The sequence below is a fragment of the Homo sapiens genome, chromosome 2 (assembly GCF_000001405.40).
Source record: "Homo sapiens chromosome 2, GRCh38.p14 Primary Assembly".
NCBI classification, from domain to species: domain Eukaryota; kingdom Metazoa; phylum Chordata; class Mammalia; order Primates; family Hominidae; genus Homo; species Homo sapiens.
The window spans coordinates 44,746,692-44,771,380 of NC_000002.12; the positions used below are offsets into that span (position 1 = coordinate 44,746,692).

Here is a 24,689-nt window from a genome sequence, read left to right on the forward strand (position 1 = left end):
ACATCAAAATATTAGAATATTTAACCACAGGTGTAGAAAAAAAACCTGCCTATTAAGTTCCTCAGTTGACTTGTTTAATGTTGAGTTTAATATAAGGATTCCTTTCTGCTGGAATGCAGTCCAGCCTGGTCCTTGCTGAGTTAGAATAGTGAGTGATTGTTAATTTTAAGCCTGCCTTTCCAGACTCCTGTTCAATCACAATATAATCTAAGGGTCTGGAAGTAAGATGTTTTTTATCCAATGAACGCTTTCATTCAGTGTTTGAACGGCCCTCCAGTTTATTGTAGCTCTGCAAAAATAGAAATGACTCTGTGCATTTGAATTCTCAAAAGGCTTAGAAAGCATATCTGAAATGCCACCCATACCCTGACCGGCCCATTGAGCTGGGTATGCAGGACAATCAGCACATCTGTGTGCCTGCAGCCCGAGACTTTGGAAAGAAATAAGGGAAAGTACATTGGCCTGTAGCAACCCACCCCGATTGCTCTCTCAGCGTTTTTGCACTTGCTATATACTCTAAATTGTTTCTTTTTTTTAGTCCTTTTTACTTTGCTCTAAATGATGAAAAATGTTTGATTTTTAAGCTGATTTTGTGAAAATTTTTTTCCCTCAAAATGGAAATACTGTAGGCTCTAGAATTTGTTTTCTTTCAGATGCTGTGATCATGGACAGCTCCAAATCACAACTCACGGAAGTTTACACCTGAAAATATCTTTCGCCCAAATATAGTCAGCCCTTTCACCTGACACCTGAGAAGACTCAGTCCCAGAGAAAATACATGAATCACCCAAGATTGCTCAACTAAAGGGGTAGAGCCAAGTAAAATTAGAATACAGCATTATTCTGAGCTCTCATAAAAATCAGTTGGTAAATACTGAAAGAGGTCATTCCTTTGCTGAAGTTAAATCTAAAACAGTGACTTTAACTCAGCACATTTCACATTGAAAATTACATAGGGGTCTTCCTTTCTGTGGCTATTGACAGAGAAAAATGTCTCCTTGTTCTCTGCACTAATTAACTTCCCTATGAGAGGAATTACAGATGCTCTGCAGTCTGCATGAAACTGATTCTAAGGGAGGTGATGAAAATGGTCTGGCACCTTTCCTTTGTTGGAAAATCTGTGATTCAGATCAATGGAAGAAAGCAAGTGTTGATCCACAAGTGAATTATATAGAGGTCTGTGTGTCTGTGTGTGTGTGTGTGCATGGGTGCCCTTTAATGGTCAAACTAGACTGCCAATGTATTTTGATCAGTAACTGAAGTGAGAGTTAAAATGGTATCTCTGTCCCCATCACTGACCCACTCAGCCTTTTTTAATAGATCCACTTAAGCTACTGCTGTTCTCTCAGCCCATTAAGACTTATTTAAGGGGTGAATTTTCAGGAGATTATATATCATTCCCTCTAAAACACATTGAAATTGCTCAGATGACATACTCTACAAAGTGTTATAAATTCTGCATCAGAGCTAAGTAGCAAGTGAGCTTACTTGGAATAAAGATCTATTAGAGAACTACAAAGAATTAATTTTGGGAAATTTGATTTGGAGAGATGGAGTAGACAGCATTACCTTTCAAATAAGTCTGTTTGGAATGTGTGCCGTGTGTTAAGCTGTGATGTTAACATCTTTGTAATCCTGACCAACTTTAAGGGGAAATAGCACTTTATAAGGGCATGTTTGAAGCTCAGTTCTTAAGGTGCTGTTCATTTTTTTTTTCTAACGATCTTACCGGTTTTAGGATGCACAGATATAAACCGAGTGTGGTCCTTTGCTTAAATGCCGCATGTCCCAACCAGCCAGGTTTCCCGTAGGCCTGGGTAACTGACAGAGATATTTTCCTACAATCATAATCTTCTTTTAAAAATCCAGAATGCTTAATTATTAAAACTCAAGATATTGGGCCAGACGCGGTGGCTCATGCCTGTAGTCCCAGCACTTTGGGAGGCCGAGGCGGGCAGATCATGAGGTCAGGAGATCGAGACCATCCTGGCTAACACGGTGAAACCCCATCTCTACTAAAAATAATAAAAAAAAAATTAGATGGGCATGGTGGTGGGCACCTGTAGTCCCAGCTACTCGGGAGACTGAGGCAGGAGAATGGCATGAACCCGGGAGGCGGAGCTTGCAGTGAGCCAAGATCGCTCAAGATATTATTGCCTCACTAAGGAATAAAATAGAGAGTCCTGAAGAGCGAATATTTTAAAGACATACTTATAGTTTGATTCCTTTCTCGTTAATTCTTAATGGTTATTAATTACTGTTTAATATGACTTAATGGCAAGTTTGTGTAGCACTTAATTTACATACATTCTGTGCTCCAAGATTTGAGAATGTAGTTTTGGGAAAGATAAAGTCTTTCCATGGGTAATAATCAGGTCATCATGAGTGATGGATGGAATGGGATGAGGTTCCATTCTGGACGTGGTTTCTAGCTCATCTGAGGATTCTTTTCCCATTGCTCAAAGTGACCTTCCATAGAAGAACCTTCCATGGAACCTGTGATGACCAAAGACACTCAAGCAATGACTTTTTGGAAACTTCTTATAAGCTGCTCTCCTCAGAGGAGAAAATCATCAGATCGGAAGAGAACCTAGTCTGTTGAAATATCCTACCTGAAAGTTGGTTCATCCTTGACAGTATCAGTAAAGGAGTGTGTACTACCCACTTTAGGGACATTGAAACTAACACCCTACATAAGCTCCTCAATTCCAAGGACTGTGATGATCTGCCAGTCTGTCCACAAGTAACTGCCAGTCTGTGTGTACGCTGTGCTGGAACTATTAATAGTAAAGCAAAATGAAGACAGAATGGAAGCTCCTTGAGAATGGGAACTTTGTCTTATTCATAGCTCATCCCCAGTTCCTAAATTTGCCCTTAGTATATAGTAGATGCTCAACAAACCTTTATCAACTAACATATCTTATTAATTTGATGTCCACATAGTCATATAGGTGGGTGTTTATTGACAAGGAAACTGAGGCTTCACATGAAGTGACCTGCCCAAAGTCACACAGCAGCAACATCAAAGCCAGAGCTCTTTAAAACCCTGAACCAAGTTCCTCCCTTGTCTGAAGTACAGCTCCACGCAACAGCCCCCTCTGAGCGAGGACAGCAGCCCTCCCACTGACAGCTGATACCCACCCTTAGCTAAAAAGAATGATGCAGGGCCCTAGAGTAGGTGGTGCTTACTCTTGCTGTGTGAAGAGACAGGAGGCCAAATCAGAAGGGTCTGACCTGCAGCATTAGAAATGGGAGTAGGGGGCCTTACTTAGGCCCCTCATGGAGATGGCTGATGCACAAGGTTGCTGAGTGTTCTAGCTTAAGGTAAGGGACTCACCGTTAGAGAAGAAATTCAAGTTGTGAATGGAACAGTTTTCCATATTACTTTCCAAACAAACGTATTTGAAATGCTGTTATGGGTTAAGAGGTTTCAAAAGTAGTTTTGCTGTCACTGCTTTTTTTTTTTCTCTCTCTCTCAAGACAAAGTCTCACTCTGTCACCCAGGCCAGAATGCAATGTCACGATCTCAGCCCACTGCAGCCTCCGCCTCCGCCTCCAAGGTTCAAGCGACCCTCCTGCCTCAGCCTCCCAAGTAGCTGGGATTACAGGCACACACCACCACGCCTGGCTAATTTTTGTATTTTTAGTAGAGTTGAGATTTCACTATGTTGGTCAGGCTGGCCTTGAACTCCTGACCTCAGATGATCCACCCACCTTGGTCTCCCAAAGTGCTGGGATTACAGGTTTGAGCCACCGTGCCCTGTCTGCTGTCCCTGCTTTTTAAAAAGACATCGTTGTCAATTTTTATTAAGTAGAAGACAGTCCTTTTATTTATTTATTGCTTTGCAAAAGACACAGCCTAGAACTGATGGCTCTAAAGCTGAAGATGTATGTCTCATACACTCCTCAAGCCATACACTATCACTATAGTGACTACCTCTACAGCACGGCTGTTCTTCCCCAGGAATCAACGTTTTCGTCTACTGTGTCCTCAGCTGTTTTCCAAATGTTATGAGAGAGGCAAAGAAATGCAAAGATGAGGCCGGGCACGGTGGCTCACGCCTATAATCCCAACAATTTGGGAGACTGAGGTGGGCAGATCACCTGAGGTCAGGAGTTTGAGACCAACCTGGCCAACATGGTGAAACCCTGCCTCTACTAAAATACAAAAATTAGCTGGGCATGATGGCGCATGTCTGTAATCCCAGCTACTTGGGAGGCTGAGGCAGGAGAATCGCTTGAACCCAGGAGGTGGAGGTTGCAGTGAGTCAAGATTGTGCCACTGCACTCCAGCCTGGGCAACAGAGTGAGACTCGGTCTCAAAAAAAAAAGAAATGCAGATGCTCTCTGCCTTCAAGAAGCATAGCAGCTGAATGAGAGGACAGCTGAATGAGAGGACAACAATGAAATGCAGGGACCTGGGAGAACCTCCAAATTCTCTACTTCTTGTACTGAGCTTGGAAAAGGGAGAGATCACTATGGATGCAAGTAAACAGGGATGGCTTTCTCGACCAACCCCGCCTAACTCTAGTCATCTGATGACCTCCGTCTTTTGCCTAAACCAGTCAGTGCTCTCTTCCGTACATTATTTCATGCTCAGGAGTAATTACAATTAGATGTGAGAGGCAGTACCAAGCAGTGGCTCAGAGCACAGACTCTGAAGCCAATATGGTACAGAGGTGAATCCCAGCCCTGCCAATTAGTAGCTGTGTGACTCCAAACCTCTCTGTGCCTCCATTTCCTTAGCTGTAAAATGTGGACAATAATAATAATGCTAACAGTAAAAACTACCTCATAGGATTGATGTGAGGATTAAATGAGCTATGAAAACCTCTTAGAAGGTACCTGTTAGCTAGTACTCAGCTCAGTGAGTATTAACTGTTTTGTTATTAAGACGTGTGTGTCTCTGCCATTTGTATTTAACACGTGTCCTTGTGCCTGGCTTACCTCCCTGTTATACTGTAACCTCCGTAAGGACAGGCATAGTGCCCCCTTCTTCCTTATCTCTTTACTGCTTGTATTAGTCCATCTTGCGCTGCTACAAAGGTACACCTGAAGCTAGGTAATTTATAAAGACATGAGATTTAATTGGCTTATGGTTCTGCAGGCTGTGCAGGAAGCATATTGCTGGCATCTGCTTCTGGTGAAGACCTCAGGAAGTTGCCTTATGGCAGAAGGCACAGGGGAAGCAGGCAGTCACATGGTGAGAGAGAAGGAGCAATAGAGAGAAACAGGAGGTTCTTTCAACCAACCAGATCTCACGTGAGCTCATTACCACGGGGAGTTCACCAAGACAAGGATGAAGGATCCGCCCCTATGACCCAATACCTCCCACTAGGCCCCACCTCCAACACTGGGGATCACATTTCAACACAAGATTTGGAGGGGAGAAACATCCGAACAGTATCACTGCTTTTCGGTGCTGTATATACAATTTGGGCCCCATGGTTTTGGCATCCTGGATATTCCAGTACTGTTCAGATTTCAGAGATTCAGCTGTACTTTCTAAGCTCAGTTATTATGACCTCAGTTCATAGTTACTATGTTGGTGCAAAAGTAATTGCGGTTTTTGCCATTAAAGGTATGGCATGGCAAAAACCGCAATTACTTTTGCACCAACATAATATCAGATCACGTATCCCAATATGGGGTTCAGAAAAAAAGTCCCTATCAATAGGTATCATTGGCAGCCTCTAGCAGCTTTGCTTTCTCTTGGCAGAGTGCTCTAGCAATGCCCAGGAGCCCTTCTGCAGAGGCTGGACAACTCTCCTGGTGTTTGGCAGCCAGCTCTGTTCTGCATGCCTTCGGCACAATATGCTTTCACCTGTCCCCACCCTAACCCCACCCACAGAATCCTTTCCTTGGTTTTAATAAACTTCCAGCTGTCTTCGTCCATTTTCTGCTGCTATAACAGAATACCACAGATTGGGTCATTGATAAAGAACAGAAATGTAATTCTCACAGTTCCAGAGGCTGGTAAATCCAAGATCAAGGCACGGGCAGGTTGGTGTCTGGTGAGCATCTGGTCTCTTCTGCCAAGATGACACCTAGAATGCTGCATCCTCTGGAGAAGAAGAACACGTGTCCTCACATGGCAGAAGGCAGGAGGGCAAAAAGGAGCCAAACTCCCCACCTCTCAATACTGTTGCATTGGGGATTAAGTCTCCAACACATGAATTTGGGGGAAACATTCAGACCATAGCATCAGGCATGGCCAAGTTAAGTAACTTGCCACCTACTGCCAAGCAACCCAAACTCAAAGGTCTGCGACCTGCAAGTTCAGATAAGGAAACTGTCTCAAGCTTCCAAGATAATAACTGGTGAAGACAGAGTCAGACTGACCCAAGCAAAGGGGTGACAGAGCTGCATGAACAGAAATTCTCTAAAGATCAGGGATGGAAAATGAAAAATCAAAATGAACTATAAAAACATGAACCTGGGTTGGGTACAGTGGCATGTGCCTGTAATCCCAGCACTTTGGGAGGTTGAGGCAGGAAGACTGCTTGAGCCCAGTAGTTCAAGACCAGCCCTGGCAACAGAGTGAGACCCTGTCCCTACAAAAAAAAAAAAAAAAAAAAAAAAAGAACTAGCTGGGCATGGTGGTGCACAACTGTAGTCCCAGCTACTTGGGAGGCTGGGGTGGGAGGATTGCTTGAGCCCTGGCATTTGAGGCTGCAGTAACTGGATGACAGTGCAAAATCCTGTCTCAGAAACAAAAAAAAAAAAAGAAAGAAAGAAAACAAAGAAAAGAAAAAAAACAAAAAATCAATGTAGAGGCCCAGAGAGGAAAATCCAAAGTTGCCATGGTCTCTGTGATATATTGTCTGAGATTGTTCTTTGTTTTTGTAGCTGTTCACTCCTAAGTCAGACGTTGAATCTAACCTCAGTGCTGTTTCTAGTCACTAAACTCTATTACCTCCTGAGATATATTTCATGGTTTGGGTGTCATAGGGCTGGTGGTTTGTGGTCTGAGGGCAGCCACACAGCACCCTTGGTGGGCAGAGGGCCCAGGTCTAAGGGAGACTAGGCTCTAATGACAGGAAGTTGCCAGAGTGCTTCATCTCAACCAGATGGCTACCCCAAACAGCAGTTTGGAAATTGTCCCTGTAACATTAACACATGGCCCAGTCACGTGTGAATCCTGGCCCATTGCATGTTGACAACTTGGCTTTAGTTGGATAACACTGACCACAATATCTTCTCCCCTCCCACCCCCTCCAGTGAGACACTTGAATGGTAGGAAACAATTTCTCTTTTTTAGCGTTGGGTAAACATGTGTAATTAGCCTTGTACTTATCTCCATTAGTATCATTAGACTTGAAAACCCAGTTTAATCTGGATTCTGCTCTCTTCTCAATGTCAGCCTGTTTCTGGACCAGTACAGAGCCAGCCTTGTTGATGCAATAAAGAGATTACTCCAGCCCAGGGTAAGTATGTTTCTATTTTCTCCTGAACACTGGCTACAGAATAATTAGTCTGTGCACAAAGATGGAGAGAGTAATGGAATGGCAGGATTAATGTCATGTAATACTTTAATACTTATTATGTCCAACTTCAATTGGGTCTTCTGATCTATTAGATTCTTTCCTAATCATAACTAGGAAACTTCTTACCCTTGGCCTTCTGATAAGAAACACAGTGGGTAGTGAAATAAATGCAGCCGCTTCAAAGATAGTGTGAGGTTATTTTTATCAAAGAATTTCTTGAGTCTTTTCCCTTGATAACAATATCTTCATATTAAAGTTGAAGTATGATATTGAAAGTTTTCTGTTGACTTCTGTCATTTTCAATTCCTTCAATGGCAACCTTTCTCATTGGTTATTTATTTATTGCAAAATAATACTTTTTTCTTTTTATTTCTGTTTATATTAAAGAAAAAGGACTTCAGATGAATCTGTATATTAATAGTTCTTTGCTTTAAAAGGAAGTCATTATTTACATATTATAAACATTAGGTCACAATGAAGCCAAGCATGGCATAAAATATTGTGCACATTTTTACATTTATATATCCATTTATGCCGGTGAGTAAATTACAGAGTTTGTATCCACTCTTATTTTGTTGGACTGTTAAACTAAGCTAGGAGGTCCTGCAGCCTAAACGGAGAGTTAATATACATCTATTTAAAGTAAGAAAATGAGTTTAAAGCTCATGCATTAAAAAAAAAAAAACCTTATAACTATGTAAGACTCTTGCTGTGCCATAGGAGTTTAAAATAGGTTAACAGTATTAATACAGTCGAAGATAGGAACGCATATTTATCTGAGAACACTGAAGTGTGTGTGTGTTTCTAAAGTATTTTTTTAAAAAGGTCCACTCTAGTCTTCTGACTCAGTGAGACTTACAGACCAATACCTTTCAACCTTTCTTTTATATCTTTTTTATAACCTTCAGTGGTTCCCAGAGCAATCTGATAATCATCCTTTGCCATACACTGTTGCTTTTTATTTTGCTATCTCTATGTAGCTCAGAAACTTAAAACAGGTGTCTTGGAGGAGTAGCCATAGCTTCGTAAGTGGTAGTCAGTCCAATTCAATTGGCCTCCTCAGTTCCCCTGTGAAATGGGCACCAGATCTTGAGGCAAGGAAGGGGCATGTTCCAAGCTATTGACGGCCACTGCATGGTTGAATAGGCCACCCAAGTTGAGGACAGAAGAAGGAATTTTGGGTTTCAGCATCCCCCCACCCCTGTCGGCCTTGGGTGATTCTTGTGGGCATTTGCAAGACTAGGATTTTCAGGGGCGGCTCAAGATTCTTGAATATGAAGGCCTCTATGAAAATGTATCATACATAAATATAATGCTTTCAAGGACTCCTGAATCTCACACTGTACAAATAGTACTTCACTCATCACCAATACCCCTTCAAAGCCCATTTGTGGCAAATACTCCATTTTGCAGCAGATTTGCATGATTTACCTAGGATCTATTGTAAATCATTCGCATGATTTACAATAGAAAAGTGCCCAAGCTATGAATAGACCTAAACGCAGATTAGACTGGAATCCAGCAGCTCTTCTGTACCCTCTAATAAACCCTGAACACACTCCCTCCATCTGAATCGTGGCCACACGCAGCAGCCCCCTCTGAGCAAGGACAGTAGTCCTCCTGCTAACAGCTGATACTCACCCTTAGCCTAGAGAAGGGTGAGGCAGGGCCCTAGGGGAGGTGGCACTTACTCCTGCTATGAGAGGAACAGGGAGGCCAAGTCAGAGGGGCTCACACTAACCTGTAGCATTAGAATGGCAGTGGGGGGGCCTCACTTAGGCCCCTCTTGGAATGGCTGATACTCAAGGCTGCCAGGTATTCTAGCCTAAAGTGTAAGGAGCCCACCATCAGAGGGGAAATCCCAGTTGTGGATGGCACATGGACTTACTGAAATTACCACCCAGGAACCTCATCCCCATCAACAGGTCTGGGGTAGTGGGCAGTTGTCCTCCCTGAGCCTCCACCCAAATGGACCACAGAAGGACCATGTGGGCTTGCCAGTGAAGAGCCCAGTCCCACATCCTGTGTTGATGGGCTAGGAGGCTGTCCAGAGCATGGGAGCAACCAGTAGAAAACTGGACTTTTCTTCTTAGCTCTCAGGGCTGGCTGTTTGGCTTCTGGAGGACCTCCCCCTCTGAGTATACAGTCCAAGACTAAGAAAATGGTCAAGGTTTTATTTCATTACAATTAGAGCTGGTTTTAGTGTCCTCTTGAGCCCAGACAACAACTCCATGGTTTTGTGGCCCAGAGGCTGAAGGTGTCACAAGAAGCCCACAAAGATGGCCGGGCACAGTGGCTCACACTTGTAATCCCAGCACTTTGGGAGGCCGAGGCGGGCGGATCACAAGGTCAGGAGATCGAGACCATCCTGGCTAATATGGTGAAACCCCGTCTCTACTGAAAATACAAAAAAATTAGCCAGGCGTGGTGGCGGGCGCCTGTAGTCCCAGCTACTCGGGAGGCTGAGGCAGGAGAATGGCGTGAACCCTGGAGGCGGAGCTTGCAGTGAGCCGAGATCACGTCACTGCATTCTGGCCTGGGCGACAGAGCAAGACTCTGTCTCAAAAAAAAAAAAAAAGAAAAAGAAAAAGAAGCCCACAAAGAAACAACACAGGGGCTACATGGTGGATCCTGAGTTCTTGATGATTCAGTGCAAGATACAGCAAGTTCTCCGTGCACTTCCAGCAAATGCAAACACTGCACTTCCAGCAAATGCTTCAAGTTCATAGTGTGGCCCCAGTTTCTGAAGGTCTAGTGTAGTGGGTGGAAAGAGTCAGAAAAATCTGCATACAAACCCCAAGTCTACATTAACTACCTTGTCTCTCTGAGCCTGCATTTCCTCACGTGTCAAAAGGCAAGGCTAGTGCCCACCTTGTGGATTGGTGTGAAATATTTACATATGTATAAATCCTTGATCTGTGCCTGGCTTACAGGAGGTGCTCCTTAAGGGGAGCTGCTTCTCTTTTATTGCTGTAGAACTTATCAAGGTTAATCCACATGAGATGTTTATCCAGGGGGATGCTGGCTTGGCTGATGGGATGCCTGAGTTCCAGGCCTAGTGTGGCCCTAACAGGCTCTGGAACCGCCTCTTGCTCCATTATCCCCAAAGAGGGAAAATGAGGGAGTTCACCTGTGCTCTCATAGAGTTCTATCAGCTCTGAAATCCTGCATTCTCCTCGCAGAGAGAAGGTATACATGGGCTGTGGAGGCAGAAAGCTTAGGCCCAAATCTGGTCTCTGCCACTGACTGAATTAATGTCTGGAAGCCTCAGTTTCTCATCTGTAAAATGGGGAGTGAAAAAGCTGATGCACTGTAATGCACATGATTGGCTCTGAGTATCTATTCAAGGCTAGCTCTGGTTACTTTGGTAAATACAGACTATGGGGGCTTTTTTTTTTTTTTTGAGATGGAGTCTCGCTCTGTCACCCAGGCTGGAGTGCAGTGGTGCAATCTCAGCTTATTGCAACTTCCGCCTCCCAGGTTCAAGCAATTCTCCTGCCTGGGCCTCCTGAGTAGCTGGGATTACAGACACGCACCACCATGCTAGCTAATTTTTCTATTTTTGGTAGAGATGGGGTTTCACCTATGTTGATCAGGCTGGTCTCGAACTCCTGACCTCGTGATCCACCCCTGCCCCGACCCCTTGGCCTACCAAAGTGCTGGGATTACAGGCATGAGCCACCACGCTCGGCCTTATGGGGGCCTTTTTCCAAGCATTTTCCTGGAGAAATGCTGGTGGGAGGGGAAGACATGATTTTCTTGACCTGGACTTTGAGAATTTCTGCACATAATTGGCACACTGCATCTCCCCTGCACATGTATCCTGAACACCTGTAGCAGGCCCTGTACTGGTTCTGGGAGGATTGCCTACCTGGATGAAGATGACACTTTACTATAGACGGTCCCCACGGAGTGGGGGAGAGTACTCTACATTGGCAAGACAGAAGTAACTGCAAAATGAAGGTTCAAGTGTCAAGCTGTGGGAACAAATGAATTCTGCCATCTAGGGGAGTATGGTTGATTTCTACCTTGAGCAAATCAGTTGTCTGGAGTCAGAGGGTCCAGAAGCAAAGAAAGTAGATGGAGAGGGGGAGTTTCCCTGCCTTTCATTTTCTATACTGGAGCTATGAATGAAGAGAGGTCCCCAGAGAGACCTTAGCCACCAGGGTGGGCTCCTTGCTTGGCCCAGGGGTGATGTCAGATCCCAGGCTGAGCTTAGATTCTCAACCAAACAGGCACCTGTGCCTGAAAAGTCTTTACAGGAGGCCCCAAATTTTAGCAGGGAATATTTGTTACCACCTGAAATGCAGGCTTTCCTCAACCTGCTAGTCTAAAGAAACTGTAAAGATAGTTAACTCCTGTCATAACACTACAAGGGACTCTCCAGCAAACTTAATAGATGAAAACAATAGAATAGGCATGAAAAAGGAATGAAATCAGCACATTTTACGCATTCCAAGAAGCAATGTCCCCCTCAACCCCCCACTCACTTTTCCCTCTGGTGAGTGGCTTGTTGTTGCTGATGATTGATAGGGTGACTCACTGTCATTGTATTCCTTAAAAGTCCATGACAACAGCAGTGTCCAGTATCAGAGGACCCAAACGTAATTTAAAATATAGGCGCAGCAGCCTGCAAGTTGAACTTTCGTCCAGAAATGACAACCAACAAATGGTATCTACTAATATTCCTCTGAAATGACTTTGGGTACAGGGAGGGGAGCCAAGCCAACCAGACAGCATGAGTTTACTCAGGACCAGAGGATAGAATATTGACAGTAATCCAGCTTGTTACCACTGCTAACCAACTGTCAAGAATTCAGAAATATCACTGTGGAATTCACTTAACCTTCTTCAGAAATTGGCCCTACCCGATCACCAGATTCCCAGAGTCCTGCCTATCTCCAAGGTGTGCTATAAATGTAAATCATAAACTCTCATATTATAAAAGCAATTTTTTGGGGGGGAGGACAGGGTCTCACTTGGTCACCAGGCTAGAGTACAGTGGCACCATCACTGCTCACTGAAGCCACAAACTCCTGGACTCAGGTGATCCTCCTGCCTCAGCCTCTCAAATAGCTAGGACTACAGGCATGCACCACCATGCCTGGCTAATTTTTGTATTTTTAGAGATGGGCTTTTGCCATGTTGCCCAGGCTGGTCTTGAACTCCTGGGCTCAAGCAATCCTCCTCCTTGGCCTCCCAAAGTGCTGGGATGACAGGCATGAGCCACTATGCCCAGCCAAGTTCTTTTTGCTCAGATACTTTCTCATCTTTTTTTTTAAAAAAAGTCTAACATCTCTGCCCACTTCTGTACAAACCTTTTTGTTTGCTTGTTTCAGGGAAATTGCCTTGTGTATGTGGGATCAGTACCGTGAACTGAAATGGTGCTGAGACACTTGGGTTCTTATCTGCTTACTGAGTCAGAGACCCAGCGACTCCTCACCAGTGCTTGGTGAGAAGTTAGCTCCTACAGTTGTAGGATTCCCCTTGACACAAGGGTTGTAGCTTATAGAGAGTCCTCAGATGGTTTTAAGACCCTCAGTGCAGGGGCCCAGCCCTGAGAAGTCCTTTTCTAATATCTACCCAGATGCTGTTCAGCACATACAGTAATGTGTGCTTAGCAGAGAATACCAAGACATGAGGTAGAATCTCTGCCCCCAAAGACGTTGCAGTCTGGTTGTGGAGATATAACATACACACAGGTAGAACTATAGCAGACAATGTAAAATACAGCCCAGTGCTATTTTTATTTGTTTTGTGAATCTTTCGAATTTACGCCTTAGTATTGGACTCTGTCCTGATTCAACAAACATTTGTTGAGCAACTGCTATCTGCTTGGCACTGACGCCATTCCTATGCGCTGAGGAATGTGGGCTAGGAGAATGAATATGCACTAGGAGCACTGTGGGAATCTCATAGTTTAGCAGGACAGATGAACACATGAACTCCCAGGAATTACAGTGCAATATGGTGGGTGCCAGGAAAGAGGTACCAGGAGAAAGCACCAAGAGTGACTGCCTGAGGAAGGTTTCCCTAGAGGCAGTGGTGTCTGACTTTGGTCTTAAATAGTAAGAAGGGCACTTTGAGTGTGTGGAGTAAGAAAAATCATGGTGTGTTTTGGGATCAACAAGAAGTTTGCTCTGGCTGGAGTGTGAGAGTGTCTGTGGTTTTGAGGTTAGGGTTGGGGAAGGGCAGGAAGATGAAGTTAAAGAGTTATGAATGGCCATCGAGACCATCCTGGCTAACACAGTGAAACCCCGTCTCTACTAAAAAATACAAAAAATTAGCCGGGCATTATGGCGGGTGCCTGTAGTCTCAGCTACTCAGGAGGCTGAGGCAGGAGAATGGTGTGAACCCGGGAGGTGGAGCTTGCAGTGAGCGGAGATTGCACCACTGCACTCCAGACTGGGCAACAGAGCGAGATTCCATCTCAAAAAAAAAAAAAAAAAAAGAGTTAGGAATGGCCAAGAACATTGTGATGAAGAGACCAGGCTCTACTGTATGGGTAACGGAGAGCCATTGAAAGTTTTTGAGCAGTGGTGTGGTCAGGTGTACCTTCTAGAAAGATCACTCTGCCCATAGCATAAAGGGTAGATTGGAGTAAGGGAGAGCTTGAAAGCAATGAAGCTCCTCAGAGGTCCAGTGTGGACCAATATCCACCTGGAATCATCCATTTAGGAGCTAGTGAAGACCTGAAAATGGAGAAGAGGACAATGAATGGATATTCACTGAGCGTTCCACTCAGCAAACATTTATTGAGTGCCTCTCAGATGCCAGTCACTGTGCCAGGCCCCGGGGATAGAGTTAGATATGACCTAACTCTACACTGGAGGGGCTTACAGTCTAGAGACAAGCAAGGGACGATCACCTGGTGGTGTGTGATTGGCACAGCAGAGGTGTGGGCAACCCTTGGGGGCAGGGAGTGGAGGTGGCCAACTGGGGAGGAGGCACAGTAGGGAGGCCAGAGAAGTCAGCAAAGGCGTCACAAGGGCAGGGAGTCTAACCTGGGTGCTGAGGGATGAGTAAGAGTAACCAGGCAGACAGAGAACTGGAGGTGAGAGAGGCATTCCACTCAAGGGGAGCATGTGCATGTTTGAACACACAGGATACATAAAAGAACAGATGGGGGATGTGATGAGGTTGGCCTGACTAGAGCCCAAGATGTGTATGAGGGAGTGGCAGGAGACCAGGCTGCGATAAAGGCATGGGGCCGGTCACGTGGGGCTTTGCCTGCCATACCAAGAAGGTGGGACCTAAGTCAAGGTTTTCAAACCCTGTTTAAATGGCAGAATGTTTTGGTCAAAATTTTTTAGCCAGCACCCCAATTACAAAACAGATAAAAATGATGCAGCTTTAGTTAAACTAAATGTGAGACTGGTACTTCCTCTGTCTTGGTCTTCCTCTTATCCCTCCAGGCCACCCCTGAAGCAATTCAGAACACAGTTTGAGAACCACCTGCAGTAAGTGACAGTGATGCAGGTAGGGGGATGTGGCACTGAGAGGTCTTGAAGGGCAATGCCATGTTTCCCAAGTTTCCAGCTTTATTTCGAAAGTGACAGATACGGAAGTGCTTGGTACCTAAGAGGTACTCAGCTTGCATATCTGAGTGTATGCGTGTGTGTGTGCTGCATTTGATGGATCCTTCCCTGGGAAGGGTAGGGGTTAGCAGTCAAGAATATTGAGTTTTATTTTGGACAAAATGGATTAAAGGTATTTTCAGAATACCCACATGCAGAGATGTAGTAGGCACTTGAAAATGTAGGTGTGAGCCCTGGGCAATGGTGAAAGCTATAGTTATAGACTTGGGAGTTATTGGTCTATAAGTGATAGCTGAAGCCATGGACATCAGTACAATTGCCAAGAATTAGATGGAACGTGATGAAAAAGTAGGCAGAGCCCTGAGGACCACTGACAATTAAAAGACAGGTCAGAGAAGAGAAGCTACAAAAGGAGACAGAGAGACTGAGAGAGATGCCAGGAGAGGAAGCAAGTGAAAGCTGCATTTCAGAAACCAGGTAAAGAAAATAGGCTGGACACAGTGGCTCACATCTGTAATCCCAACACTTTGGGAGACCAAGGTGGGAGAATCGCTTGAGGCCAAGAGTTCAAGAGCAGCCTGGGCAGCATAACAAGACCTCGTCTTTATAAATGACAACAAAGAAATAGAAAATCAGCATAAGCTTAAACATAGAATTGGTATTTAATAGTTTGGTTGCTAGGAAGTGAAAAAGGAACAAACTAAATGTGAGACTAGTGCTTCCTCTGTCTTGGTCTTCCTCCCCTAATGCATTTTATTGGCATAGCATATTCCTTTTAAAATAAATCTGAAGCTGGGGGGAGTGGGGAGGGATAGCATTAGGAGATATACCTAATGTTAAATGACAAGTTAATGGGTGCAGCACACCAACATGGCACATGTATACATATGTAACAAACCTGCACGTTGTGCCACATGTACTCTAAAACTTAAAGTATAATAAAAAATAAAATAAAAATAAATCTGAAGCATACCAATTTTTTCCAGAAGTACACTCCCTTTAATGTGTAAGTATAGATTAGTCTAGCAAAATAACAACAACTGAGCTCACAAGGTAAGCAGTATCTCTGTGGTTTAGTGGAACTTCTCCCTCTCCTCTCCAGGAATAAATGAATTCTCTTAAATTTCTGCTCATCAGTCAAAGTGTTACATTCAATTGAGTATTCATTCTGCGTTTAAAATAATTCTGCAACGGAATGCTTAGAAAGTTGTGCTTTGGCAAATTGAAAATAATTTTTCTAAAGTGATGGGCTAATTTGAAATCCATATTCCTTTTCTGGTTTTGATTTGTGCAGCTGAAATCGTAAAGCATATCCCTCTGATGGTACTGTTCCCCCTGTGACGTGTTCTCTCCCCTGGGGATACTGGGGTCTAAACCCATTCATTATGGGGAGGGGGAGATGCTGGCACTCAGTAGGGCTCAGTGAATGAATGGATGATGGGCTCTTTTCCATCCTAACTATTAATCCACCTCTCAAAGGTGTCTGTATTCAATGAACTGAAAAAGAAAACAAAACTCCTAAGTAGTTAGAGATTAAAACTACTGCCCAGTCTTTCTCTTTCTCGTGGGTACAGTGTTGTGCACAGAATGCTGCTCTCTAAAACCCCATCATAGCAGCTGACTCTGTAAAAGCTTCTCGGGAAAATCTTTTCAAAGGAATAAGCAATAGAACGTGGCTTTTGAATTCCCAAAGACTCAAATTCTTTAGATTACTCAACTTCTGGATTTAGTTTATTGTCTCATCAAATATTGACTGAGTGCTTACTATGTGCTAGGCACTGAGAAAACGTAGTGAATAAAACATTAGAAGATCCTGTTGTCACGGAGTATGCATTCCAGCCAGAGAAGACAGGGCAATAACAAACAAGGATACAATGTGTGTCCCTGGTGGTAAGTGCTAAGAACAAAAATAAGCCCGGCGAGGGACTGGAGAGTGATGGGGCAGGGGCTGCGTTCTGAACAGGGTGGCTAGGGAAGGACAGGTAAACTGAGAGCTGAAGGAGGAAAGGGATGTTTAGGCAGAGAGTGCTGTCACATGCTTAGCTGCTGTCACTTACAGCTTACCCCAACCAGGGCATGTGGAGATGCATTGCTTTGTCAATGCAAGGATCAGCCCAACCTAGAAACCTGTAGCCTTGTGAACATGATGATATGCAGCTTAGATAATAGCTGTTAAAAACCGACTCTTCAAGTGTTACTGTGAGACAATTTTTTGCAGGTGACTTTTAAATAAAACAGCTTCCATTATTCAAAAATCCAGAATGGCAACCAGCTCTTAGAAATGACTAAAATGACCTACCAGCATTCCCTGTTGTTTTTTTTTTTCTAATGGAGACTTTTGCTGTCCTGCCGAGACCATGTATTATATCTAGTTTCACATAAAAATGAATTTTTGCTGCTAAGTTTGAAAACTGCCTGAAAATAGCAATTAATATTGAAAAAGCTGACAGAACCTTAAGTGTAGTGGCATGATTGGTGCTGCTATAATTATGTGCCTGAGTGTGTACAGGCTGATGTAAACACAGTATGAAAACACACTTGATGCTCAGGACAGTGTAGCCACGTATTTTCTTACGGGTAAGTGAGGGCGAAGGGGAGAGGGAGAGAGAATTGATAGCATTTTTAGAGCACTGTTAGGTGGTGTAGATCTTTCTAATCTTACATCAGTATAATCTTTCTAATTATTTTCACATTCTGTATTTGATCCTCACAATTTGTCGGGGGGAAAAAGGCAGGGCAGGCTTTGTTCTTCCCATTTAATGGATGAGAAAACTCAGTGGATCAGCGAGGATGGGTTAAGGTTCTTATCGACAAAATGGAGAGATTGGACTACATTATTTCCAAGCTTCCCTCTAACTCAAAAGTTCTATGATTATTTTCTGATTGTCCTGAGGTGACACCGCTGTTTAATGGTGGAGACTCCCCTTAAGTCCAGTCCTTTCTGCCACAGTTCCTCCTTATATTCTTCAAATCCTTCACTGTATGTTTAATCATCTGTAAAATGCAATGTCTACTGTACAGGTTGTTGAGAAGATCGCTGAGGGGATTAAAGGAGGATTTGTGAAGCACCTAGCACAGTGGTAGCTATCATTATCATTGTCATCACTGTTACTAATAAGGAGACATGTAGTGTAGTGGAGAGAGCATCAGTGCTGGGGCTTCTGATCATTCACTGACAGAGTTGATAATACCTACAACATAGGGTGGTTTAAAGACTAAAGGAGGGTTGGGCACGGTGGCTCATGCCTGTAATCCCAGCACTTTGGGAGGCCAAGGTGGGAGGACCACCTGAGGTCAGGAGTTTGAGACCAACCTGGTCAACATGGCGAAACCCCATCTCGACTAAAAATACAAAAAAAAAATTAGCCAGGCGTGGTGGACTGTGCCTGTAATTCCAGCTACTCAGGAGGCTGAGGCAAGAGAATTGCTTGAACCCAGGAGGCAGAGGTTCCAGTGAACCGAGATTGCACCACTGCACTCCAGCCTGGGTGACAGAGTGGGACTCTGTCTCAAAAAAAAAATGTCTAAAGGAGATGATGTTTATATGAATGCCTAGCCCAGTGTCTGACTACACTATACCTACAACATAGAGTGGCTTAAAGACTAAAGGAGAGGATATTCATATGAATGCCTAGCACAGTGTCTGACTACCAGGTGCTCAAGAAATGGCTGGCTGGTGTGAATGATAAACCACTCTTCATAAGAAACTCAGATATATTTTCATGATTCCCTCAAAACCTAAAGAGGCATTTCACAGAGGTGAAGTGTAACCTTGAGAGTAACAGAAGCATATAGCCATCTTTATTTTTTTTTTTAAAAAAAAAAAAGGAGATTCTGAAGTTTGGCCATTCTGTACACATCTGAGAGGGAGGAAAAATCCGCATGCATCCAATAGTTAGCAAATGGTCATTGTGAAGTTTCATGTCAGATGGTCTTCTGAAATCCAGTACATACTTTATTCAGTTCCTCCCATTCTCCCCACTGCAACAATCACATAAGATTGTGTGGATTATTTAGAAAAGGCTGTTTACCCTCATTATACCACTTTCTTTGAAAAGCAATCATGTGAATACTATGAGGAACTGCTTGGCTATAGTGATGACCATCATGAGGGATTCAATAAAGTTGGAAACCAAGATCCTGGAGCCTGTATCTGACAGCGTGGTCACAGAAAAGGCTAGGGCAGGACTGAAATATGAAAACTCTCCAAGAGGAATTGTGGTTACTTGTCTCTATGAAGGATTTCTTGGTACTGAATTTTCAGGGTGCAAAAAACTAACAGATGTAAGCATCTGTTGTCACATGCCCCAGGACTGTGTTGGGGAAGCGTTGGCAGGTGCTAAGGAGTCACAAGGTGAATGGCACTGCCCTGGACCAGTTACTCTAAAATCTAGTCAATGGCTTAACCCACTGGACCTGAGACAATGCATATTGTTCGGAACACCGGCTTTCAACCACATTTTGTTTTTTATAAGTATTATTTGAAAAAGATAAAACACAGCAACTGGCCATTTGGATGTGAAATCGATTCTTATATGATATACATCTCTCCTGGAAATTATTCTCACTGTGAATGTCCATCCTGCATAGACATCTCAAGAACAATTGAGTTTTTCTACTTGAGAGCAGTACATTAAATGCTTTGACCAATGTCTGTTATGTTTGGTTACCTTCCAGTTTTAAAATATGTGAATTTCCTTTTTACTGTTCTAGGGGAAAGCGATGGTATTTGCCCCACGCCGAGGGAATACTTTAAACCAGTTTTGCAATCTAGCTGAAAAAGCTGGTTTCTGTATCCAAAGACATGAAAATTATGATGAACACATTTCAAACTTCCACTCCAAGGTTAGTTTTCTGCTTGTGTTAGATAACACTTTAATCCGCATTGCATTTTGAAGAGATCATGGTCTTTTTGGCAGGTAACCTAAATATTTGATTAAAGTACTCCTTAGATGTGTTGCTTCTGAACAGCTATTTGTATCTGATTATTTTGTGTGGTAAAGCCATCTTTTATCTTTGCATGTCTAGAAGGATTTTACAGAAACCATTCCTGTTTACTCTTTTCTCTGAAACAAACTAATCTTTTCATTCATAATAGACTAATTTGTAGGATGTAAGGGGAGGTGGCATAGAATGAATAACATGCATTTATATTTTAATGAAAAACCTTCAGCTTTTAAGTAGGTTAAATGCTTAGCCGCACTGAAATAAATAGAAGGTGAATGTCTAATTGTATCATGTTGGACTGTAAATCTTTATCTCTGCTTGCTTTATAGCTGGGTCAGTTGGCAGTTTGAGACTGTTAAATCTCATACAGAATTTCACAGTTGTGGGGTTATATGTCAGATGGAGGCACTACAAGATTTAGGTCAAAAGCACTTATCTGAGAGTGATTTCTAAGCCTGCTTACATAAAGCAATGTTATCAGCCTTTTTATTATTTATAGGTATAGACCAATATAGGACACTGAGAGGCGAGTGTTTCACTGAAAACTTTTTAGGATTCTCACGTTTGCTAGTAGTACATGTCACAGTGACTAGTATAACATGTATTATTTCAGTAATTTTGTGCCTTACGGAAATCTCCCTTCACTGAGCTAGTCTGACCTTGGCAAGAGACTTTAACTTGTCATGATTTCACAAGTTGTAACTGCAGAAAAATAAAGGCCCGAGCTTAATTTTCTCCTGGGACAATGTGAACAGCATCCTTTATTACCCAGGACTGTAATATAATGTAGAAGTGTGTTGGCTTTTGGAAAAATATATGAAAAATTAATCTGATCTTCCAAGCAAGAGAAAGAAATTCTCACTTTCTGAAAATGAATTTATTTATTTGAATCTTTAAGGTTCCATTTAGCCTCTGGGGGAAAAATGGTGCTTTGTGAACTGAAAGAGTTACATTACATCCTCTCACTGGTGGAGTCAGGCCCATTGCTCATGATCAGAAAATAAAAACAGGATGGTATGTGATTCAGATCTTACCAGCCTCTCTAGAATGATGTTTTCCCCTTTTCAATCCCTCCCCCTAAAAAAAAGCGGGTCTTTACCTGGTAGGAAAAGGGTCCCTCCTGGCTCCCTGGACTCCTCCACCCAAAGGAATAATGTGGCTTTCTCTCCAGGGTCGGGCTGGAACTACAAGGATCAGCTGACAGCTGCTTCAATGTCGTGCCATTCACTTTCCCCCTAGAACAACAAATGCTTTTAGTTTCCCAGTGACAGCTCAGGAGAGCAAAGGCTTGGGTTTCTCCACCAGCAAAGACGTTCAGCATTGTGCCTGATACCCTCCGTCTCCTCCCTGAAAGACCTGAGGAGCGTTGGGACATGCCAGGCACGCCCACCTCTCCTCTGTCTGGAACTTTAGAGTGTTAGCGCCTGGTGGCCAGCACACCTCCTCTTTTTATTTCCAACGTTGTACACTACCCTGCTAAGTGAAGCACATAAATAAGTGGCTTTATTTTTTCTCTGGTCATAATTGCTGAAAAGTCAAATTCACAGTTTGCTGACATTGGTACATTGGACTAAGAAATAGTTGTCTTCGTGGTTGGGGGTGGGGAGAGTGTAGAACCCTAGGAGAATATTCTGCAGAGTTGGCACATCCTGGATAAAAGGTATAAACGGGCGCCCATGATATATATATATATATATATTTTTTTTTTTTTTTTAATAATGAGAGCTATTTCAGCTGGTGTGGGGTTCTGCTTCTAGCAAAAGAATGCCTCTGGTCCCTCCTGTACCTGCCCCAGCAGCGGGGATACTGTGTGCTGACCGGGCTGGCACGTGCAGTTGTGCTCCTTTGCAGGAGAAGGAGCTCGCCCAGAGGCCGGAGCAGTGAGCCGGGGGCCACGCTGGAGGGAGCGGGCAGCGCCGCTGCTCCTCGCCCATCCCCATGCCCTGCAGCAGGGCGCGAAGGCGGAGGCCCAAGGCAGCACCCCTGCCCCTCCAGCCCTGCCCGCCCGCCCGGGGCTCCGGGACGCGGCCGCCGGGAGCCTCCACCCTGGCGGCTTTTGTTGGCCGCGTGCTAATAGCCAGGGCTTAAAAGTTTTCCATCTTGAGCGGCAATCAGCTTTCTTCCTCTCCATCTCTGGCCAAAGCCCCCTCGTCCCTGGGACGCGCTGCTCCCCAATGGAGGAGCGGCGTTTTCCTTCAGGCTGCGTGTTATCCTCTTAGCCCTACTGTGTTGGAATAGAGCGTAACCAGCTGGAGGACTGTAAGACGCCTGATAATGCCGCTCTTTTCCGCTGTCCCGTCTTAATCTTGTTACACAAATGGTCGTGAAGAGATTCATGAATTTTAATTTTGCCCTCTGCATTAGTGCCTCGCGTCACTCATACACAGCTGCCTTCGAAGCCGAGTTTTTCACCCCTCCTCTTACAACAGGGGAAAAAATTAGTTACTTGGCAGTAGTGCAAGGTAAAAAAAAAAAAAAAATCTACAGATTTAGGCAACCACCCATGAAGCTGATTAACAGTCAGTGATCAGGAGGAACAGCTTTGCCTCTTAAACTTTTCACCTCTCATTGTTAACTGTGAAATTTTATTTCCGTTAAAAAGCAAGCCTGTAATCAAAACGGTGCCATTCCGCACTTTTCTGCCAGTGCTTTTGTTAAACTGTGCCCACACCATGCAGCCAGTGTGCTCAGGAACCAGGCAGCCAAAGGTGTAGCATGTTTTAAAAATATTGCTTTTCAGTCCATCCTTGCAAGGGGAGAAAAATAAAACACTTCCCTCTCCTCCCCAGCCTTTTGGTCTCCTCAAGGCTGAGAATCAAATTCATTGCCCTCATAGTGTGGTTCAAAACCTTTCGGATAGTAAGATAGCAAATCGTTTTGTAAGGTAGAGATGTGACTTCGAGATTACAGCTGGCTTGATGCTAGTTGGTAAAAATACTCTCATTCATGCAAATGTTCTTTGAAATATAATTTTACATGCCGTGGGTTTTTTTTTTATAAACTTTCGCAAAACCACCCTGAAGTGTTTATTTTTCTGTATTTTTGTACATAGCTCTGAAAATAGGCTTGGGCTGGGCTGTGAAGTCAGTACATTGTGTTAAAAACACGGCCATATTGCACTTCTGCTTATCTATTCAAAATGCCACATTACAAGTGGCTGGTGCTTATAATCTGTGTGGTGTGCTGTTGATAATTGTGGATACTGTAAAGGGTAAACAGTCTGAACTCCACTCCTGCTGCTGCTGTTCACGCCGTAGTAAGGCTGAGCGTGTTACATCCAATTATGAAGTAAAGCATAATGCTACTAATAGCAGCTATATAATTTAGTTTAGTCCTCAAAGACCCTGTTTTAACCTCTGAAATTGGAAAATTATTTTATTCATGATTTGCTTTTTCTTCATTTTCTTTCAAGGTGCCTTTTGATATTTGTCAAAATTGTAATTATTAATTGGGCAAGGAAGTACAGCCTGGGTAAATGGAATTATTCTTAAAACTCATAACATTCCCCCATCGAAGCAAGTATTGGCTAAGAGCTTTGTGTGTGTTCAAGTACCCTCACATAACAGACTTGCTTGATTCAGAAATGATCCAGGGCTGGGTTATAGTGTTGCCTTTGAGGGTTGTCAGCTCTTCCCCATTGTGGAAAGGTCTCACAGGCAAGACGGGGCTGGCCCCTGGCCCCTTTCAGCAACGAAGCCTCCACTTTGGCCTCCAGAGGTCAGCATAGAATCCAAGTTAAAAGTGATTTCTAACCCATATTTACAGAAGAATTATTTATCCCACATATTACCTCAGGGACTTTATAAAGAGCTCATTTGAGTCTCTGTATATTAGTGCATTGTGAGTGAGTAGGTCAGCTGACTGCCACTGAGTAATCAACTTTCCCTTATCCCCAATCCCCAAGGAAAGAATTGAGCTAGCTTGGTCCTCTCTTCCCTCTGTAAAATACTTCAGTGAGCTCCCTCTATCACTAGGGCAACTGGCAACAAAAGTATTTACAGTGGTAAGTCCCGGTCAGTGGGTATGGACTGGGAAGTTGGTGAAGCCATTTTCTCAGCATTTTCTAAAATTAGACTAAATAGTAAGGTTGGAGGACCTGTGTTTAGGCTTAACACTCTCGCTACTTTGGTAGCAGCAAAAATCCACAAGGATCTTCCTAAATAGACAACAAATCATCTGTACACAGAACAAACTCTGTCTAAGAAAACAGAATGAAGTCACCTCAGTGACTGTACCACCATCAGTTCTTGGGAAAGTAGATTGGAAAGTGGATTAGAAATTAAAGGCTGAATTAGCTTTATGTTCCCCAGCGGAAAAGGGGAAGTGGGCTCATGACTCCTGTCCTTAATAGTGACAGCATGTCCATGTCATGGTTTGGGAATATGATTTAGAAGGAACATGCACTTCGAAAAGATTCAAGTTAACATGCCCCAGAGGGACCAACCTGGGAGAGTGTGATGTTGAGGCCATTCATTTTGCTTTAGGGTGGGTGGAGTGGGTGGTGTTTGACTAATTTAAACAATAAAGGAATTGACTCCCTGTATAATTTAAAGAAATATTTATTTTTTTATTCTTATAATCTAAAAAGAAATTAACAATTGGCTCATAAATTCCAACTTCAAAAATATTAATTTTGTCTTTATAAATAGCAAATTTTTATTTGCTAGAATAAATATAAATATAACTTTAAAACTATTCCAGCTGAATGAAGAAAAAG

General features: G+C 43.4%; 1 protein-coding gene across 7 annotated transcripts in view; it reads left to right on the forward strand.

Annotated features, from left to right (window-relative positions):
- CAMKMT (calmodulin-lysine N-methyltransferase) overlaps positions 1-24,689 on the forward strand; it is a 410,646-nt gene that overhangs the window by 384,745 nt on the left and 1,212 nt on the right. For 6 of the 7 annotated variants that reach the window (NM_024766.5, XM_047445878.1, XM_017004982.3 and 3 more), the window contains 2 exons: positions 7,364-7,427; positions 19,739-19,870. In NM_024766.5, coding sequence (NP_079042.1) covers positions 7,364-7,427; positions 19,739-19,870 — 196 coding nt within the window. Of the gene's footprint in view, positions 1-653; positions 1,520-7,363; positions 7,428-19,738; positions 19,871-24,689 lie in introns of those variants that run through there. The other variant, XM_011533111.3, reaches the window with a different exon arrangement.